Source organism: Homo sapiens, chromosome 10, assembly GCF_000001405.40.
Source record: "Homo sapiens chromosome 10, GRCh38.p14 Primary Assembly".
Lineage (NCBI taxonomy): Eukaryota > Metazoa > Chordata > Mammalia > Primates > Hominidae > Homo > Homo sapiens.
In genome coordinates, this window is record NC_000010.11 from 127,877,356 (window position 1) to 127,893,774 (window position 16,419).

The 16,419-nt window shown below is 46.7% G+C and overlaps 1 protein-coding gene across 2 annotated transcripts; it reads right to left on the bottom strand.

Moving 5' to 3' along the window:
* Window positions 1–485: 485 nt before the first annotated feature.
* On the bottom strand, window positions 486–15,586 carry CLRN3 (clarin 3). Of its 2 annotated transcripts, NM_152311.5 has the most exons (3): window positions 15,201–15,586; window positions 6,341–6,520; window positions 486–1,065 (listed from the first exon to the last, which is right to left on the bottom strand). In NM_152311.5, exons 1-3 carry the CDS (start codon window positions 15,427–15,429, stop codon window positions 794–796), a joined length of 681 nt encoding a protein of 226 aa, NP_689524.1. In that variant the 5' UTR covers window positions 15,430–15,586; the 3' UTR covers window positions 486–793. The 2 variants fall into 2 exon arrangements, with proteins under 2 accessions (NP_689524.1, XP_011537576.1); XM_011539274.3 differs by lacking the exon at window positions 6,341–6,520.
* Window positions 15,587–16,419: the final 833 nt, after the last annotated feature.

The window sequence follows — 16,419 nt, forward strand, 5'->3', positions numbered from 1 at the left end:
CCTGCCACACCCAGGTCTACACCACAGAAACTAAGGCTGTTGGTTGACACGGTGGATGCTAGAACTTGCTGCAATGTTTCATTTCTATTTTAACTGAATTCACCACAATCCTATTAAACCAAAAATATAATGTTTAGCCTCTTTAGCATATAGACCACAGGGCTATCATTTTTCTCTTTCTCTGATATTCTCATTTCTATTCTCTTTCTGAACAAAACCCCATCTTGGAATATCAAAAATGTGTTTGAGGATCACAATAATCACCTTTACCCACCATTGGGTTTGAATATGCCAGCAATTGAGGGTCCAGAGAACCAAGTCACTTACTCCAAAATCTCTCTTTGCCTCCAGCACTTGGTCCTGGAAAGGTGAGTTCTGAAACCCTCTGTTCCCAGAAGTCTTCATGCATAGAGTAGAATAAAAATACCCAGTCCCTCCTGAGGGGAATGAGATCATAGGCACTGAAGTGCTTTGAGATACTCAAAGAAAAGAAACATGACACAGCCTTTTATTATTTCAGATCGTGAGACCAGGTCAGAAGGGTCGTTACGCTCATCATGATACTACTGCTTTGAATACCACACAGACCAGCGACATTTCCCATTCATTTCCCCAACCTTGTGGGAAAAATTTTCAGGAGTACAGCATCAATGAAGAACACAGTGTCATGAAACACAAATGCTGTCACAGATGACAGTCACGTTACCATGCTGAATTGTCCAGAGAAGCTAACCAGTTACTACTCAGGGCTGATGTACAATAGATGCAACGCCAAAATGAGATGAAAGAGAATTCAGAATAAAATTCCGTCCCTTGGAGCATATTCCATTGGCTTTCTCTGCTCCTGCTTCCGCTGGTATCTGGCCTTCTGGTAGAAAATGATGATGGTTACAGTGACTATATTTAGAAGAATGACGAGCAGTATGAGCCAGAACGAGTATCCGTAACTGTGGGTCGTTCCTTTACTGGTGGTTGCCGGGTAAAGCATTTGGAACAACTCTTCGGAGAGTTGGTTGGACTGCGTGTTCGCCACAAACAGTATCATGGTCACAAAAACGAAGGATGCTGAAAGGAAGATGGAGTTTCATGCATGGCATGGTGATACAGTTTTTAATGTCACTTATCTTTATGGAACACATATATATGGGAATGTATTGCATATCTACACAGGAGTTTACACTCTTTTAAGCACTAGGGAGAAGGTACAAAATTGTAAGACACAAACTAGATGTCTAGGCATAGAACACTAAAGATTGTGCAGGGCTGTGTATGACCAATAGTGAATGTGCTGACTCAAACGCTTTCAGAAGCAGTTGTGTAACTTGTCTACCAAACAGCGCACTTCCTAGGTGGTGAATGCAGTAGTGTGCTGAATGAATGATTGACTAGGACAGTTCAGAGAGAAGCTGTATAAGGAGGTCTGGGAAGAGCTGAGGAAGGACAGGGCATCACAGATGGAAGAAGCCGCCTTAAAAAGACCCTGGGTGGGCAGTGGGCCTGGAGCACCTGGGACTGTGAGATACAAGCTCAGCTGCTGGGGAGAGGTCCCAGGGTCCTAAGAACTGGGTACGGAGACTGGGCTGCCCTGAGAGCCACAAATGCCATCCCAGGAGCTTGAATCTCATGGCATATGATGCCACTGGCAAGTGTCTAATCAGGAGGAATCTCCTTACAAAACTCATTAGAGAAGAGAACTTATTGCATGTTTATGTCTTCCCTTTTTTATTCTTCACAATATCCTCCACTAGAAAACATTCTTTTTTGTTTGTTTTGAGATGGGGTCTCACTCTCCCCTGGGCTCTGAAGTGCAGTGGTACAATCTCAGCTTACTGAACCTCCACCTCCCAGGCTCCATTGATCCTACCACCTCAGCCTCCTGACTAGCTGAGACTACAGGTATATGCCACCATGCTTGACTAATTTTTTATGGAGACCGGCTTTTTCTATGTTGCCCAGGCTAGTCTCGAACTCCTGGACTCAAGTGATCCACCTGCCTCGGCCTCCAAAAGTGCCGAGTGTGAGCTACTCTGCCGAGCCCTAAAGAACATTCTTCAGTATAGACTTGGGAGAGCCACTTTTGTCTAGTTAAAAGAACGTAGTTCTGGAGTCAGAGAGAACAGGATTGGAAATCCCAGCTAGATGAACTTGAACAAGTCATGTAGCCTTTCTGAGCCTCATTCCTCATCTTTCAAAGGGAATGAGATAGAGACAAAAAAAAAAATGTAGATTAGGGCTTTCGCGGTTGCCTAGTGCTGGAAGTGGGCTGGGAGGGGGTGATAGCTAAAGGGCATGGGGTTTCTTTTCAAGGTGATCAAAATATTCTAAAATTGGCAGTGGTAAGCCTTGCCCATGTCTGAGAACATACAAAAAACCATGGAATTGTATACTTTAATGGGTGAATTGTATGGTGTGTGACTCATGTGTCAATAAAGCTGTTAAAAGAAAGGTTTTGGAGGATAAGGATGCCTATGTTCCAGGATCTGTGATGAGGCCGGTGAGCAGGCTCACCCAGTGAGGTCTGATACGCACGGGGGCCGCCAGGGGATCCTGGCCACGGAAGCCCTTTGAGACTCCGTCTGCCGCCATGTACCCGGAACTCAGTGGACATCAAATGTATCCTGCTATAACCCACACCCAGGGAAACTTTCCAAACGGTCCATCAAAAGGCCTTAATTAGAGGGGTTTTGTATGAGGAGAATGTTTTAAACACTCCTTGATGACAGATCTTCATCCTCAATGTAATGGTTTTATTTCTTAATAATTTGTCCGTACAAAAGCCCTGACCCTCTGAAGCTCTCCAGGTGCCTCACAGCCTTAATTATCTTTCATTTTCCTCTTGTGAAGTTTCTTATAAAAGCTTAATCATAAAGGGGCAGGATGTATATAGTCTAAATGCTTTTTTCCAGAGCGGGCTGCCTAGAACTTTGATTTGAATGGGGAGGGGCCGACACACAGACACAAAATGCAAACCTGAGTCCCCTTTAGTGATGAGATGCCCAGAGCCTCTACCTGCCAGGCTTCTCCAGCCTCTGGGACAGAAGGATTTATAGGGGCTGGAGGAAGCCCCGGGGTAGATGAGGAGCTTCGGAAGGCTCACGGACCCTGGCTTCTGTCCTGGCCTGTGACCATCGGGCCCTGTGACCTCCTGATCACTTTCCACTCTCTGAGTTCCTCAGATGAGACACAAATGTATTTGGAACAGGCAGTCTGCAAAGTTGTCTCTGGCTCCAAGCTTCTCTCAGGGGACAATTTTATCCCCTGAGGCCAGGATACAGCCTCATCAGGTCAGTGTGGTGTAGAAGGTAGGCTGAGGTCAGAGGTCACGGGAACCTAGGAAGTGAGACTGCTGTTTGTCTCCTCAAAGCAGAACCTGCTTCTTTCTGTCAGAAACAAGCCAGGAAACCCACTTCCTTCCCTACCCAACATCTGCTGGCCAAGCAGAGGTAGTTCAAAACCAGCCGCTAGGAGTTTGGAGCACTTCCTTCTGGCCCCAGGACTCCCAGAAGTCAGTCTGATCATGCTGTCCCACAGCCATGACCCAAGGCAAGAATTAAGACATCTCTGTATACAAGCCCTTCTGCAGGCTGAGCCTCCTGGAAACTGAGAGTTTCAGTAAGTTCTCCAACCCTCAAAGCTCCTGTGAGAAAATCAGGAACCCCCAAAGGGCTACTTTGGGCAAAAGTCAGGCCTATCAACACTGTTAGGGTCAAGAGGCCTCAAGGGGCATTTAGAGGAAGCTAAGCTGTGCTGAGGCCTTCTCCCAGGCAGGCATCAGAATGCAATCTGCTCCTTACACATCAACCTCTCAGGTTGTTTTCTGCCCACCTCACAGCCTCCCTCTGTGTGTTAGAACTTGCTCCTGAGCCAGGAAAGGAAGGTGGCAGGAATTCCCTCTCCGTCCAACAATTCTTTGTGGATAGGAGTAGGCAGGGCTACGGGGAGGCTCTCAGGTCCCTGTTTCTCATGTTTTCCTTCACAAACATGCATGAGGCCTCTGCTATATGCAAAGCCAGCCCATACTCTGCTGCGGAGGAGCAGAGATATGGAGCCACAGCCTAGTGGCAAAGGCAGTGGACTTTGAACCCTGCAGGCTGTAGACACAGCAATGCTGGGTCCCTGTTGTTCGGCCGGCGCCACACCTGGCCCTCTACTCTGGTCCTGGCGCCTGTTTTCCCTCCAGGAATGCAGGCTTCCTTCCCCACTCACCCCTGCGGCTGGGGAAGGGCCGATTCCAGCCCCAGCTCCAGGATGGGCAGGTAGCCTTGGCCCATTAGTGGATGGCTTGGGGAATTCAACCCTGCCAGCCACAGAGATTGGTCAAGGGATGGGAGAAGGGCAATGCCAGTGCAAAGTAGCCCAGGACTTTCTCTGAATTTGGAGGAAATGAGAAATTTTTTTCTCCTGGGGCTGCCACCATCAGCAATGAGCCCAGAGTGGCCAGCAGTCATCTTATCTTCAAGAGGATTGATCTGGCCAATTAATGAATGATGGAGTCAACGCTGAGGATTTCAATAGATGGAGCAATGGCAGGAAACAGTCCTCACGACACAGGCCGAGACCTTGACTCGAGCTGTGTCTGAAGCCACTGCTTCTCGTACTTTCTTAGTTGCATGAGCAAAAGTAAAAATAATCTATCTCTTTACCCTGGCCATAAGTACCAATTGGTTTACCTTGGTTTGATTGACTGGGGTGAACCATCATCATACAAGTAGCTTAGGCAAGGGACTCTGGCATTCAGGTGAGTATATCTGATTGTGTAACAAAGTCCCTTAACCTCTGACACTCAGCTCTGCCATAAGAAAGGGAAACAGTGATATTCATTCTACAGGACTTTTGTGCCTCGTCCATAGTGGCTGCCCATTAAATTGGGGGATTTATTTGTTTTTACCCCCAAATAATAAAAGCACAGAAAGAAAGAGCCAGTCATATATGAATGTGGTTAAACTAGCCTGACCCCAAATCCTTAGAGCTGAGGTGTGAGTATGTAATGTGACTCTGGTCCACCTGTAGTCCTGGCTTAATGCTTTTCCATTTTAAAAAGCATCCCTCACCGTCCTACCTGTGCTGTGCTGGGGCCAGTTTGTACATCTCAACTCCACGTCAGTGATCTCACATTGGGAGTTTGAAAATGGCCATGTGGCTGTGTTTACACGATTCCAATCACCAGGGCTTTTTTCTCTTTTTGTTTTTCCCTACTGGAGAGCCAGTTGTTCATATTCCTCAGCACACCTCTACTCCATGACATGGAGACGCTGGCCTCCTTCAGCCACCTGCGCCTACCTCGTGGTAAGGATGACACTCAATGGAGGGACAGGATGATGCTGCCCTCAGCCCCTCCTCCGAGGCTTCCTGACATGTCTGATATCCAGAGCCTCCTTCCTGTGCTTCAAAATTTCAGGCCTGTGTTAAAATGCGTCACCTGGAGCTTACATGAAGCCACCTCAGAAATCATTTCCTTAGGACAGGCTTCATTCCCAAGGTCCAGTTTTGATGGTGGAGAGGGAAAGAACAGGAGAAACCTGACTGCCTGGTGGGAGCAAAAGGCCCTGAAGGCAGCTGGGCAGGGCAAATAGGTACTTCCCCAGCCCTGCTCTGGGCAGATGGGCAGCTGCAGAGCCCTGGAAAAACCCAGTGAAAGCCAGAAGACTGTGAGTCAAAGCTGGGACCCGCTTCCCATCTGGGCTCCATCCTCCCAGCACCACACCCATGAAACAAACAAAATAACCAAGCAACACCACCCAGCAACACCCCAGGCTCACAGGTAGCCCACAAAAAAGGTATTGCACCCAGATTCTCTTATGTGCCATTATCTGTGGCTCTGTGGCACGACCATGCAGAGATGTCATGTGTGGAGACCAAGTGGACTCTTGTCATGTGGAGGAGGAAAGAGAAGGAAGTGTGTGCTGGTGTGTTCATGTGTGTGTGTGTGTGTGTGCACATGTGTGTGTGCATGCGTGTGCATGTGTATGTGTGTGCACATGTGTGTGCTTCTACATGCCACACAGAGCCTAGTTTGGAGTTCAGCACATGGCAGGAGCCCGGTCAATATTTTGTTGACTTTTGTGCATTTTGACTTCTTATGTTAGAGTCTCAAAAGCAAAGCCTGGCTTGTTATAAGCCTCCTCAGCAGTGCATTTAAAACAGAATTCTATTTCCAGAGATGCTTCATAAACACTTTGGATTGACAAAATAAACCCCAGCCCTCAGCTCATGGGAGGTCCTCATAGTTTCCTTGGTGTAAACGTGACTGTGTATGTTCATGCATGTGTGAGAGGCAGAGACATGGGGACAAGCGGGATGCAGTTTTCTGCAGAGCACCGAGTCTCACAGGGCCACTCACCACCGAGCCCGTTCCAGGTGTACACCCCCGTCGGCCCCAGGAATGTCTGGTAAGGGTTGCTGATGCTGTTGTAGAAGGTAAACCCAGAGCTCAGCAGCGACGTGATCAAACTCAGGACCAGGAACAGGATAGTCACCGAATGCAGAGTTTTTTGGGAAGAATTATTCAGTATCTCTAAAACTAAAACAATGTTTTGTGAGTGCATAGCACATAATGCAAACACCAGCTCTGGCCTGGCATTCCTCCCCACCCTACCCTCTTAGTGACTTGAGTTACTGGTTGTTGGATGTCAGTTAGAGATACCAGGAGCCTCCAACCCATGCAAGAACAAGACCCGCATTCCCCACTGGAGGCTGGTTGTTGAATCAGTGGTTGGATGGGTATAACCGCGACACTACAGATAACTGGACATTTATGCTGATTTTGAAGTCTCCTAGGAAAGAGTTTACCTTCCTGGATACCGGCAGCAGGGCTGGACAGCCTTCCCATTACTGAGCTCGGGCTCCGTCCTTGCCAAGGTGCTTTTCCCAGTTTCATCAGTGCCCCTGTTGCTCTGAGCACTAACTTGGCTTCCACTTGGAGGCACTCACAGGGTAGGTCACCCTGAAAACCTGTGCACTGTGAGAATCCCACAAGCCCTGTGGCATCTGGGGTAATTGCATGAGTCAGGGGTGGCATCAGCAGAGAAAAGCCTAAGAAAGGTGACCAGGAAAGTGGAAGCTGAAGGCTGACATAAGAAAATGACTTCTGTTGGTGCAAATCGAGTTGTGGGTCCTACTTCAGACTCCACTTCCCTGGGGCCAGAGAGGACCAGATGCCCAGAGGGCTCCAACGCTGGAGGCGGCTGGGAATTCGCCCATGAGTGAGCCTTGACTCTGCTTTCCAAGGAGAACTCTTCTGAATCCTAACAGCATTGGATGAATTTGCATATTTCTTAAGTGCAGAGGAGCTCCAGGCATGGAAGGACACTCTTATAACATGAAGCAAAGGTGCCCTGGCTGTCAGTCCTGGGTTCCTGGTTTTGCCTTTCTCAGGCTTCTGACTGCCACCAGCCATCTCCTCCACCGGCTCTTTTGTGGAGGATGCAATGCCCAGGCACCACAGGGCTGCACTTACATGTAAGCCCAGCCCAGCCACGGGCTGACAGGGTGTGTGAGGCCCTGTGGAGGAGGCCAGCACATGAAATAGTGTTTACAAGGATGTTCCATGAAAGTCACCAGGACATGGGAGAAAGGGATTAGGGAGAAGAGTTCCGAGTCACAGTAAGGCCACAGCAACATCACTGGGAACAGGTGGGTAAAAACAAGTGAAAGGCTCTTTGTTTCCGTTCTGGTTTCTCTGGTCTCCAGGGAGAGAGCCTTGGAGCCCTCACCTCTTTATCTGGAGCAGCTTTAAAGAACAGAAAGCGAAAAGGCCAGGTAGGATCTCTGGTTTCTGGGCCTAGGGGTGGTATTCCCTCAGCATATGCCCACGGGTCGAAGGTCAAGGAGTTCCTAATGGAACCAGAGTGTTTCAAAGAATTCAGAATGGGAGGCAGGAGACCCCAGGGTGCTGTGGGCACCCATGGGAGGGGTCACCAAGTCCCCTCCCCTTTCCCTCCTTGCATCGCCGTAATGATTTAAAAATTCCTCATTATGCTGAGCCCAAATCTGCATCTCCACGACTTAAACCCAGGGGTCCTAATTCTCCTTTGGGAATCATACAAAATTCACTTGCTCCTTTCCTGCCTGGCAGCCTTTCCAAATATTTGAGGAGGGATATAAATCCCAACATGATTAACAGCCCACATTTCTGGAGTATTCTCTGCTGAGTGTGACTGCAAAGTTCCTGCCAGCCTGGCCTCCTACACATACTTTATTCTGACTCTATTTCTCTTTCTCTCTTTTTCTTCTGTTTTTGGAGACAGGGTCTTGCTCTGTCACCCAGACTGGAGTGCAGTGGCAAGATCATCACTCACTGCAGTCTTGATCTCCCGAGTTCAAGCAAAGAATCCTCCTGCCTCAGCCTCCGGAGTAGCTGGAACTACAGGATGTGCCACCACGACCACGCTCAGCTAATTTTTAAAATTTTTTTTTTTGAGTTGGAGTTTCACTCTTGTTGCCCAGGCTGGAGCGCAATGGTGCGATCTCGGCTCACCCCAACCTCCGCCTCCCGGGTTCAAGCAATTGTCCTTCCTCAGCCTTCCAAGTAGCTGGGATTACAGGCATGCACCACCATGCCAGGCTAATTTTGTATTTTTAGTAGAGATGGGGTTTGTCCATGTTGGTCAGGCTGGTCTCGAACTCCCAACCTCAGGTGATCTGCCCGCCTTGGCCTACCAAAGTGCTGGGATTACAGGCATAAGCCACCACGCCCGGCCTTTTAAAAAATGTTCCATAGGGACAGGATCTCACTATGTTGCCCAGGCTGGTCTCCAATTCCTAAGCTCGAGTGATCCTCCCTCCTTGGCCTCCCAAAGTGCTGGGATTACAGGCCACCACACATAGCCAGATAGACGTGGGGCTCCCAATGAGACCCGACAATCCCCTTGGACAGGAGGACGTCATCACTCCATTTTTGAACCTCTTAATTCTATTTGTTCACTATTGTTTTCTTTTTTGGCTTTTTAATCAGCAATGTTCTATGAGGAAGAAAAGTTTCCTCCCATTGAACAGAGTGGGCATGAAGGAGATGTGGCCAGCAGCTTGCAATCAGGTGCCTGAGAAACAGCCTCAGGGGCTGCTGGCAAAAGGGTTCTGTGGTGAAGACCCTCATCCCAAGCGGTGCAGGCCTCGGGGTGCAGCCTCCTAGACCGGGAGGGGGAGAAGCCCCAGAAGCAGCAATGACTGGTAACCCAAGGGTTCTGGCTGCAAGGGAGAGTGAGAAAGTGCAGGAAAGAAAAGGGGAGGAGAGAGAAAAGGGCAGGAGGAGGGCAATGTGGATACGCCTCACAGCGGTTGGCATGGCCGCATGTGCCTTGAAAACCCATGGGAGAAGGGAGCAAACCAGGAGAAGACTGGGCAAGCCTCAGCTCAGTGGCATGAGGACGATGAATTCACCACCCTGCTCCTCAAGTGGAACTGGGGACTGTGAGCAAAGTCCAGCTCGCACAGGTACAGCCTACTTGTGCTCAATGGTGACTGGACTATTTTGCAATTTCTGCTAATAACCCATAGAGCGTGGTGAAATTCTCAGCATAGTCTCTGGCTATGCATCCCAGGGAAGGGCTCTAGCGGGACCTGGGTCACGCCAGCCACTGCCTGTTGCCTGGGCAGGGACGGGTGGGGCCTGCTGGGCCTGCCTTCTGGGTGGGTGGGATGTGGCCACCTGGGCTGGGACCTTTTTTTCCATCCCTGACCTCAGGTGAAATTTCTTGCCTCTGCCTATTGCTCGCTGTGGAGGTGCAGCCGTTGGGGGATTAATATTGCTACAATTTAGCACACACTTGTTTTGAAAGTAATAGAGGGGGACACCGGAGGAGAGAAGGAAAAAATCTACAGCACGTAGGACACACCTGTTCAGGGGGACAGATCAGAGGCTGCAGATGAGTTACCATAAGAGGGAATCGCTTCCCATTCCACACTCGCCAGTTCCTCCTGGACGCTAAAGGGGAAACTCCAGGATATATCCCAAAGTTTGCTGGGGACTAAATAAACTCACTCCTTAGCAAAAAAGGAGCTGTGTCCAAGGCCCCTGAAGTGGCTTGCAGTATTTTTCTGCTTTACACACTTAGTAAAAGCTGTTTTTGGGTATTCACTGGTAAATGGTTCACATTCCTTTTTTTTTTTTTTCAGAGTAAATTAGAAAGTGACAATTGAATTTGGTTTTGTTTGTGACTTTTGGTAAGATCTAATGATGTGATTTTTCAAAAGGGAGTCATTTGGGGCCTGTTGACTCATATTTTCTGCATATTAAGGTGACAATTCATCTTGATTCTAACTGCTGCATTTTAAAATTATTTTCCGGCTTTCTGAATTTCCTGCCACACAGGTCTGACAGCTGTATCTCCGCTCCAGCTCCTGGCTCAGAACTTAGACAATACAAGCTGAAAATTCAGGGAAAGTTACCAAGAATGAAATAACAATAAACTTCCATAGAATCTGACAGCTGCTCTCTGCCTACAAAATTAGCAAACACATTCCGTTCTTTTTCTTCCTTTTAGGGGGCAAGCGTGTGAATCAGGAAGGCCACCTCACAATTGGCGCTAATTGCCCCAGGAGAGAGCCAAGAACAACGTGGCCAAAGAGAAGAGCGTCTGGCCCGCAGATCCCGCACCTGGGAGGCAGAAACGTGCTGTTGGGCAGTGGATAATGGGCGCCCATGAGAGCCATCCGGACATCTGGGCTCCCCATGCAGGAAAATGTAACCCTTCAGGCCCCACTTGCCATCTGCCTTTTGAGTTCTGGTTTTCTGTAAGTCCTCGGACATCAAGGGAGAGCCCGTGGCTTTGTGAGTGGATGGGTGGGAATTACCGTGACTCCCTCCGTAAGCACCTGGTCACCAGGGAGCCTGAACAGGGCAGCTCCCAGTGCCCATGGGAGGAGCTCATTCTATCAACAGATCTCCAAGTGTGGCCTGGTAGCTCTCCCAGGGAGCCCAGGCTGGTGCCCCAGCCTCTCAGAAAGTTGCCAGGGTTCCTTAGGGAGAAGTGGCCTGAGCTTGGGAGGGCACCCTCTTTGTCCTCTCTACTCTCCCCATCACAGTGTGGTTATATCTCTGGGGGCAGATGATGAACCTGCTCTCCAGGAGAATCTCCTTATGTGGACAGGGTAGGAGTAGTAAGGTGGGGGCTCTTTATGAATTCTGGAGAAATAAACTTCATTTGTTCTTCTCTTTGCAATTCATTAGTTTCTGCAGAAGGTCTATTTTTCTAATTATTTTTAGCCTGGCCTAATGGTGCAATGTTGAGCTCCCTGAGAACACATGGAGGTTAGTGGAGGAAAGAGACTAGCGGGTGGGGGAGTGCCAGATGGGGAGAGACTCCCGCCAGCTGCAGTGAATCCTGACTCGGACGCAGCACTCAAAGACCAGCCGGGAGCTGAGCTTTCCCTCAGTCTGCCTTGCTTCCTTTGCAAGGTTGTCCAGAGCTTTTGCCAATAAATTAATTTAATTTCAAGCAGGCCACATCCAAAGGACTTAAAAAACAATACCCAGTACAGCCATGCCTGTCAATCTAGTGCCTGGCCTTGGTGGAAGCTGGTTGTTGTCAACACTCAATTAGGATCACCTGGGAAGATTTTTAAAAAACGAGCAGGTCAGGGCCTCACCCCGCGGAGATTGCTATTCATTTGGTCCAGGGTGGGGATGCCTCACCCGCATCCCAGGTGAGTCTACCTTCCGCTGTAGGCAACGTGATTGCTCAAAGTCCCACACATCTGCAAATCAGACTGTTCTTGGAACTGAGAACAAAGAGTGCAGTGTCACATGAGGAGAAATATCTCTCATAATAAAGTCCATCCTGGGCTGGTGACACCCTGTCTCTACAAAACGTAAGAAAAGTGGCTGGGTGTGGTGGTGTGTGCTGGTGATCCCAGCTACACCAGAAGCTGAGGCAGGAAGATCTCTTGAGCCCAGGAGGTAGAGGCTGCAGTGAGCTATGATCACACCACTGCACTCCAGACTGGGCGACAAAGCAAGACGCTGTCTCAAAAAAGAAAAGAAAAATCTTGCCGGGCGCAGTGGTTCATGCCTGTAATTCCAGCACTTTGGGAGGCCGAGGTGGGTGGATCACTTGAGGTCAGGAGTTTGAGACCAGCCTGGCCAACATGGTGAAACCCTGTCTCTACTAAAAATACAAAAATTAGCCGGGTGTTGTAGTGTATTCCTGTAATCCCAGCTACTAGGGAGGCTGAGGCACGAGAATTGCTTGAACTCAGGAGGTGGAAATTGCAGTGAGCCGAGATGGCGCCACTGCACTCCAGTCTGGGTGTGAAGCAGCCTGGGTGATGAAAAAACAAAACAACAACAACAACAACAAAACTATCATAAACACTTTTCCTGTCAAAATGATTCTGTAAAAAATAAGTTCTGGTCAGTGCGTAGGCTGAGTAATATTTGAAACGACATTCACAGGAATTCCATGTCCTAAATGTGAATGACTCATTTTGTCATGTTTGCCAGTGTGAGGAAACAGAGCACATTGTGCTTCCGGGGCCCTGACCACATTTTCAAAACACAGAGTTAAAGGAATGACTTCTTTTTACATGGCACCCAAGATCCAGAACCGAGAAGGAGGTGGGTGTCCACAGTGTGAGCTTACACCTCCTAGCAGCTCATTTTTCAGGATTCTGTCCTCCAACTGGGCTTTGCAGACATGCATTTCCCCCAACCCCCTTGCTTGCATGCAGACCTGCACATACCATGCTCCAGCAGTGAGTGCAGGGCACTGATTTTAGCTGAGGAAGGGTCTTAATCTCACACTGAATGGTGAGCCCTCCAAGGCCAGGAACCATGTGCAATTCCTTTCAGTATCCTGAGCCCCTTATACATGCAGCAGCTGCTCAGGGAAGTTTTTTTGAACAGAAATTAGATCTCCAGAACTTTGGGAGTAGCAAAGACAACCTGCTCACAGATGGACATACAGGACCTGTCACTTTTCATCTGGATGTTGGACAAACTAGGATGCAGCAAGTCAGCCTGAGCTGCCCGCACCCTCCAGTTACACACTGGAGGATTTCCTTACCAGGTCTGAAGGACGATTTTCCCCACAGATTGACCAATGTTGGCTGAATTATTTTGGCACTTTGAAATCAGCTGTCATTGCTTCCTTCTGCTATTTCGTTTCAAATCTACAGTCAAAATTGGCTCAATATGATAAATACCATGCAGAAATATAGCAGAGCTTTGCAATAATTATTACTCTTGGGGGACTCTTGATGTGACCTCATGCTAGCCAAGAAGCTGATATGGTTAAATTCTCAATTGGAACAGTCAGTCCACCACCGCTGGGCAAGAAAGGGGCGTTTGTACAGATTTGATTGTGCTGCCAATGGTTGGTTTCTGATTTGAAAAAAGCCCCAAGTGACCACGAGAAACCACAGGAGAGCACCCACGTCTCCATGTACACACTGCAGGGCTGCTCCCAGGAGAAGCATCCCGGGATCGTTAGCAGCTGAACACCGCAAGTTGAAGATTTCAGTAACATGACTTTCCCCTGTCTGAGAGAACTGCTTACAGGTGTTCAAGCCCAGCGATTATTACAATCATTGGCAATAAAGATCCCCTAGGCTCTGAGAGGTCCTTAGGTGTCAACCAGAGTGACAGTGCAGCCCCTTCATTAATTGGGTGGTGGTTCACCTTCTTCAGCACTAGGAGGTTGGGCAGTGACTTGGGGAAGGTCAGAATGTGGCTCCCCAGTAACAGAGACTTAAAGTAGAGATCCAGCAAAGGGAAGGCAAATATTCTGCCTGGCTGTGCTCCCACCTGGGCTGCCGCACCTACCTGGCCCTGGGCCCCTTCAGGGCTCTCCTTGACAAGTGCCTGCTCTGGTCCCCTGACATCACCATGCTCACCTGCATGCACACAGGGCTTTAGAGCCAGGTCCTGACACATCCTGGCCTCCTCTGAGTCTCCGTGCATAGAGATAGTTGATGCTTTCTTTGAAGCCATTTATCTCAAATTGGAAATCAACTGGTTCCAAACAGACACCATATGGAAACCAAAAAAAACTGTAGGTTTTGTCTCTTACTTAAAATTTGTTAAATGTGTCTGAGGCTTCAGGGCAGTTTTTGGTTTTGAAAATGCTATTCACATAACTGAAAGCATGACTGAGTCTCTGAAAGTTGCTGTAAAGCCAATGTTCCCCATCCTTATGGGAAGCTGAGGTTGACACCAGAGGAGATGTCCCTGAAAGGCTATGGCAATGCTAGGGGAGATGCTGCTTTTGCTAACATCTAAATGACAAATGTATAACTTGGGAACATAACCAGGTTGCTTTGGATTTAAGAAAATAGTTTCATTAACAAAGTCATAAACACACTAGAGCTAGAACTTAGAGCTAGTGTCTAGGACTCAAACTTCTTCATGCATTACACAAGGACTAAACATTACATGTGTATAAGGTAGAAAATGATGCATATTTATAAGTCAAAAGGTAATGACTGTATGATACCCAATAATGCCTGTATAATACTTGCATACAACATTGTTCAAAACAAAGTCCACTTAATGTGTTACATAATTTACAAATGTTTTTAAATTTAGAAAACATGAAGGTAGGTTATCAAACCTCAAAAGTCAAATAAGTAGCTAAATCAACTTATTATTCTCAATGAACTTTTAATTTTACTTCCATGGAGAGGAGGGCATTATTATATAAGAAATCAGAAAAAAAAATGTTTAGGAATTCCTATCAAATATACAATTAATAAATTAATGGAAATTTAATATAATTTCCAACGATTAGATTTTTTGGAGGTAAATTAAAATCAGTTAAAGAAATGAACTTGAGAAATAGAGATAATAAATTTTCCATTTTACTCTTTCCTGCATAGATGCCACTTGTGAAGTTCTAGACAGAGGTTGTGGCTCCAGCTAAAAACCCAGTCAATACAGTTAAAACATGTGTTCCTACTGGCTATTCAATGCCGTATTGCTGCCACATATTTTTACTTATTTACTTGTCAGTCAACTTGGTAGGTATTATTTAAATACAGCCACTGCTAGAATGATATAGACTATTGTATTAATAGACACAAGGAGAACCGAGGAAGCTCAAATAATGACATGGCAAATTTCCAAAATTATGAGTTAAGCTTGTACCTTCAGCCTAACCCAAAACTTACAAAGAAATTATTTTTGAATGGTTATTTGGCCCAAATATAGAATGACATAAACCTTAATTCAATCTCACTATATTCATTCAAATTAGTTTATCATTTACCTGCAAACTTTTTCTTTGGTTCTGCAAGTCCGTGACTCAATTCTTCACTACTCTCCCCACGAAAAAGTCCGTAAGTGATGAAAATGCTCCCATTTGAAGCAGAGTCTCTAACAGCAATTGTACTGGTGATCCATGCTTGTGTCCCAAGAATAGAGCAAATTACAATGAAGGACCCAAGGCTGGTGAAAAAGCTTGATAAGAACATCAATGTCTTCTTTGTGGTAGGCATTTTCACAGGAAAATAAGTTCTCTAGGACAAAAAAAGGAATATCTTCTTATAACACTTTTGAACCTTATCTTTTGAAGTCTGGTATTTAGAAATGGAGTCTAACACTTTATTGTCAAATATAAAATCTCACTCTTCCTGAGGAAGGGTTATGCTAATGGACATTGAACTCTGAACATGGCCATAAAATTAACAGTAGCTGAACTTTGGTCTGGAGTAAGAGGCTGCTATGGTTACAGCCAACCAGCATGAACAAGGGGTGGGCATGGTCTTCCCAGGGACTTCCTCAATCATGCAATTAATTTATAATCCTTGGCCAAGTGTCATGGAAGCAAGTTTAGCCTACCATATCATGACAGGAGTAGAATTCCTAAATAATAGGGCGTGGAGGATCTGTATTCCCAAAGCGTTGCTGAGTCTAGCAGACAACAACATGAAACCCCAACTCCTCCAAGAATTATTGGAAATATGTAAACATATACTTCACTATTGTGGATATTTATGTTGCTTCAATTTCACAATTATGATTGAGAAAGAACAACACCCAAATATCTTTAGGCATAAACCTTTGTTCATATCTCCACTTGCTTCCTTGCTTAAACTTCTAGAAGTTTGACGAAGTCTGTGGATTTTTCTGAAGTTTTTGCTATGCATTGCTCAGTTTCTTTACTCATTAGTGATTTGACTCTTATAATTGTTCCAAGAGGAATCCTAAGGAGGGTAAACCTTTGTCAAATGTACTGTGGAGTGGAAAGAGAAAAGCTTACACCTCCTTATGTTTTATACCTCTCTATTTTTAGACTTTATCAGAGAGGTTTGGCTTTCAAATTTCCTCTTTCAAATTGGATCATATTTGCGTATTATTTAAATTATATCTTGAGAAGTTTCATCTTTATTACTTTTTAGTACTCTGATAGAGATGGTTCTGAACATTCTTGTTTTTGGTCGTTATAGCTGTATCCACTCTGTTGAATGGTAAATAGTTTATAAATG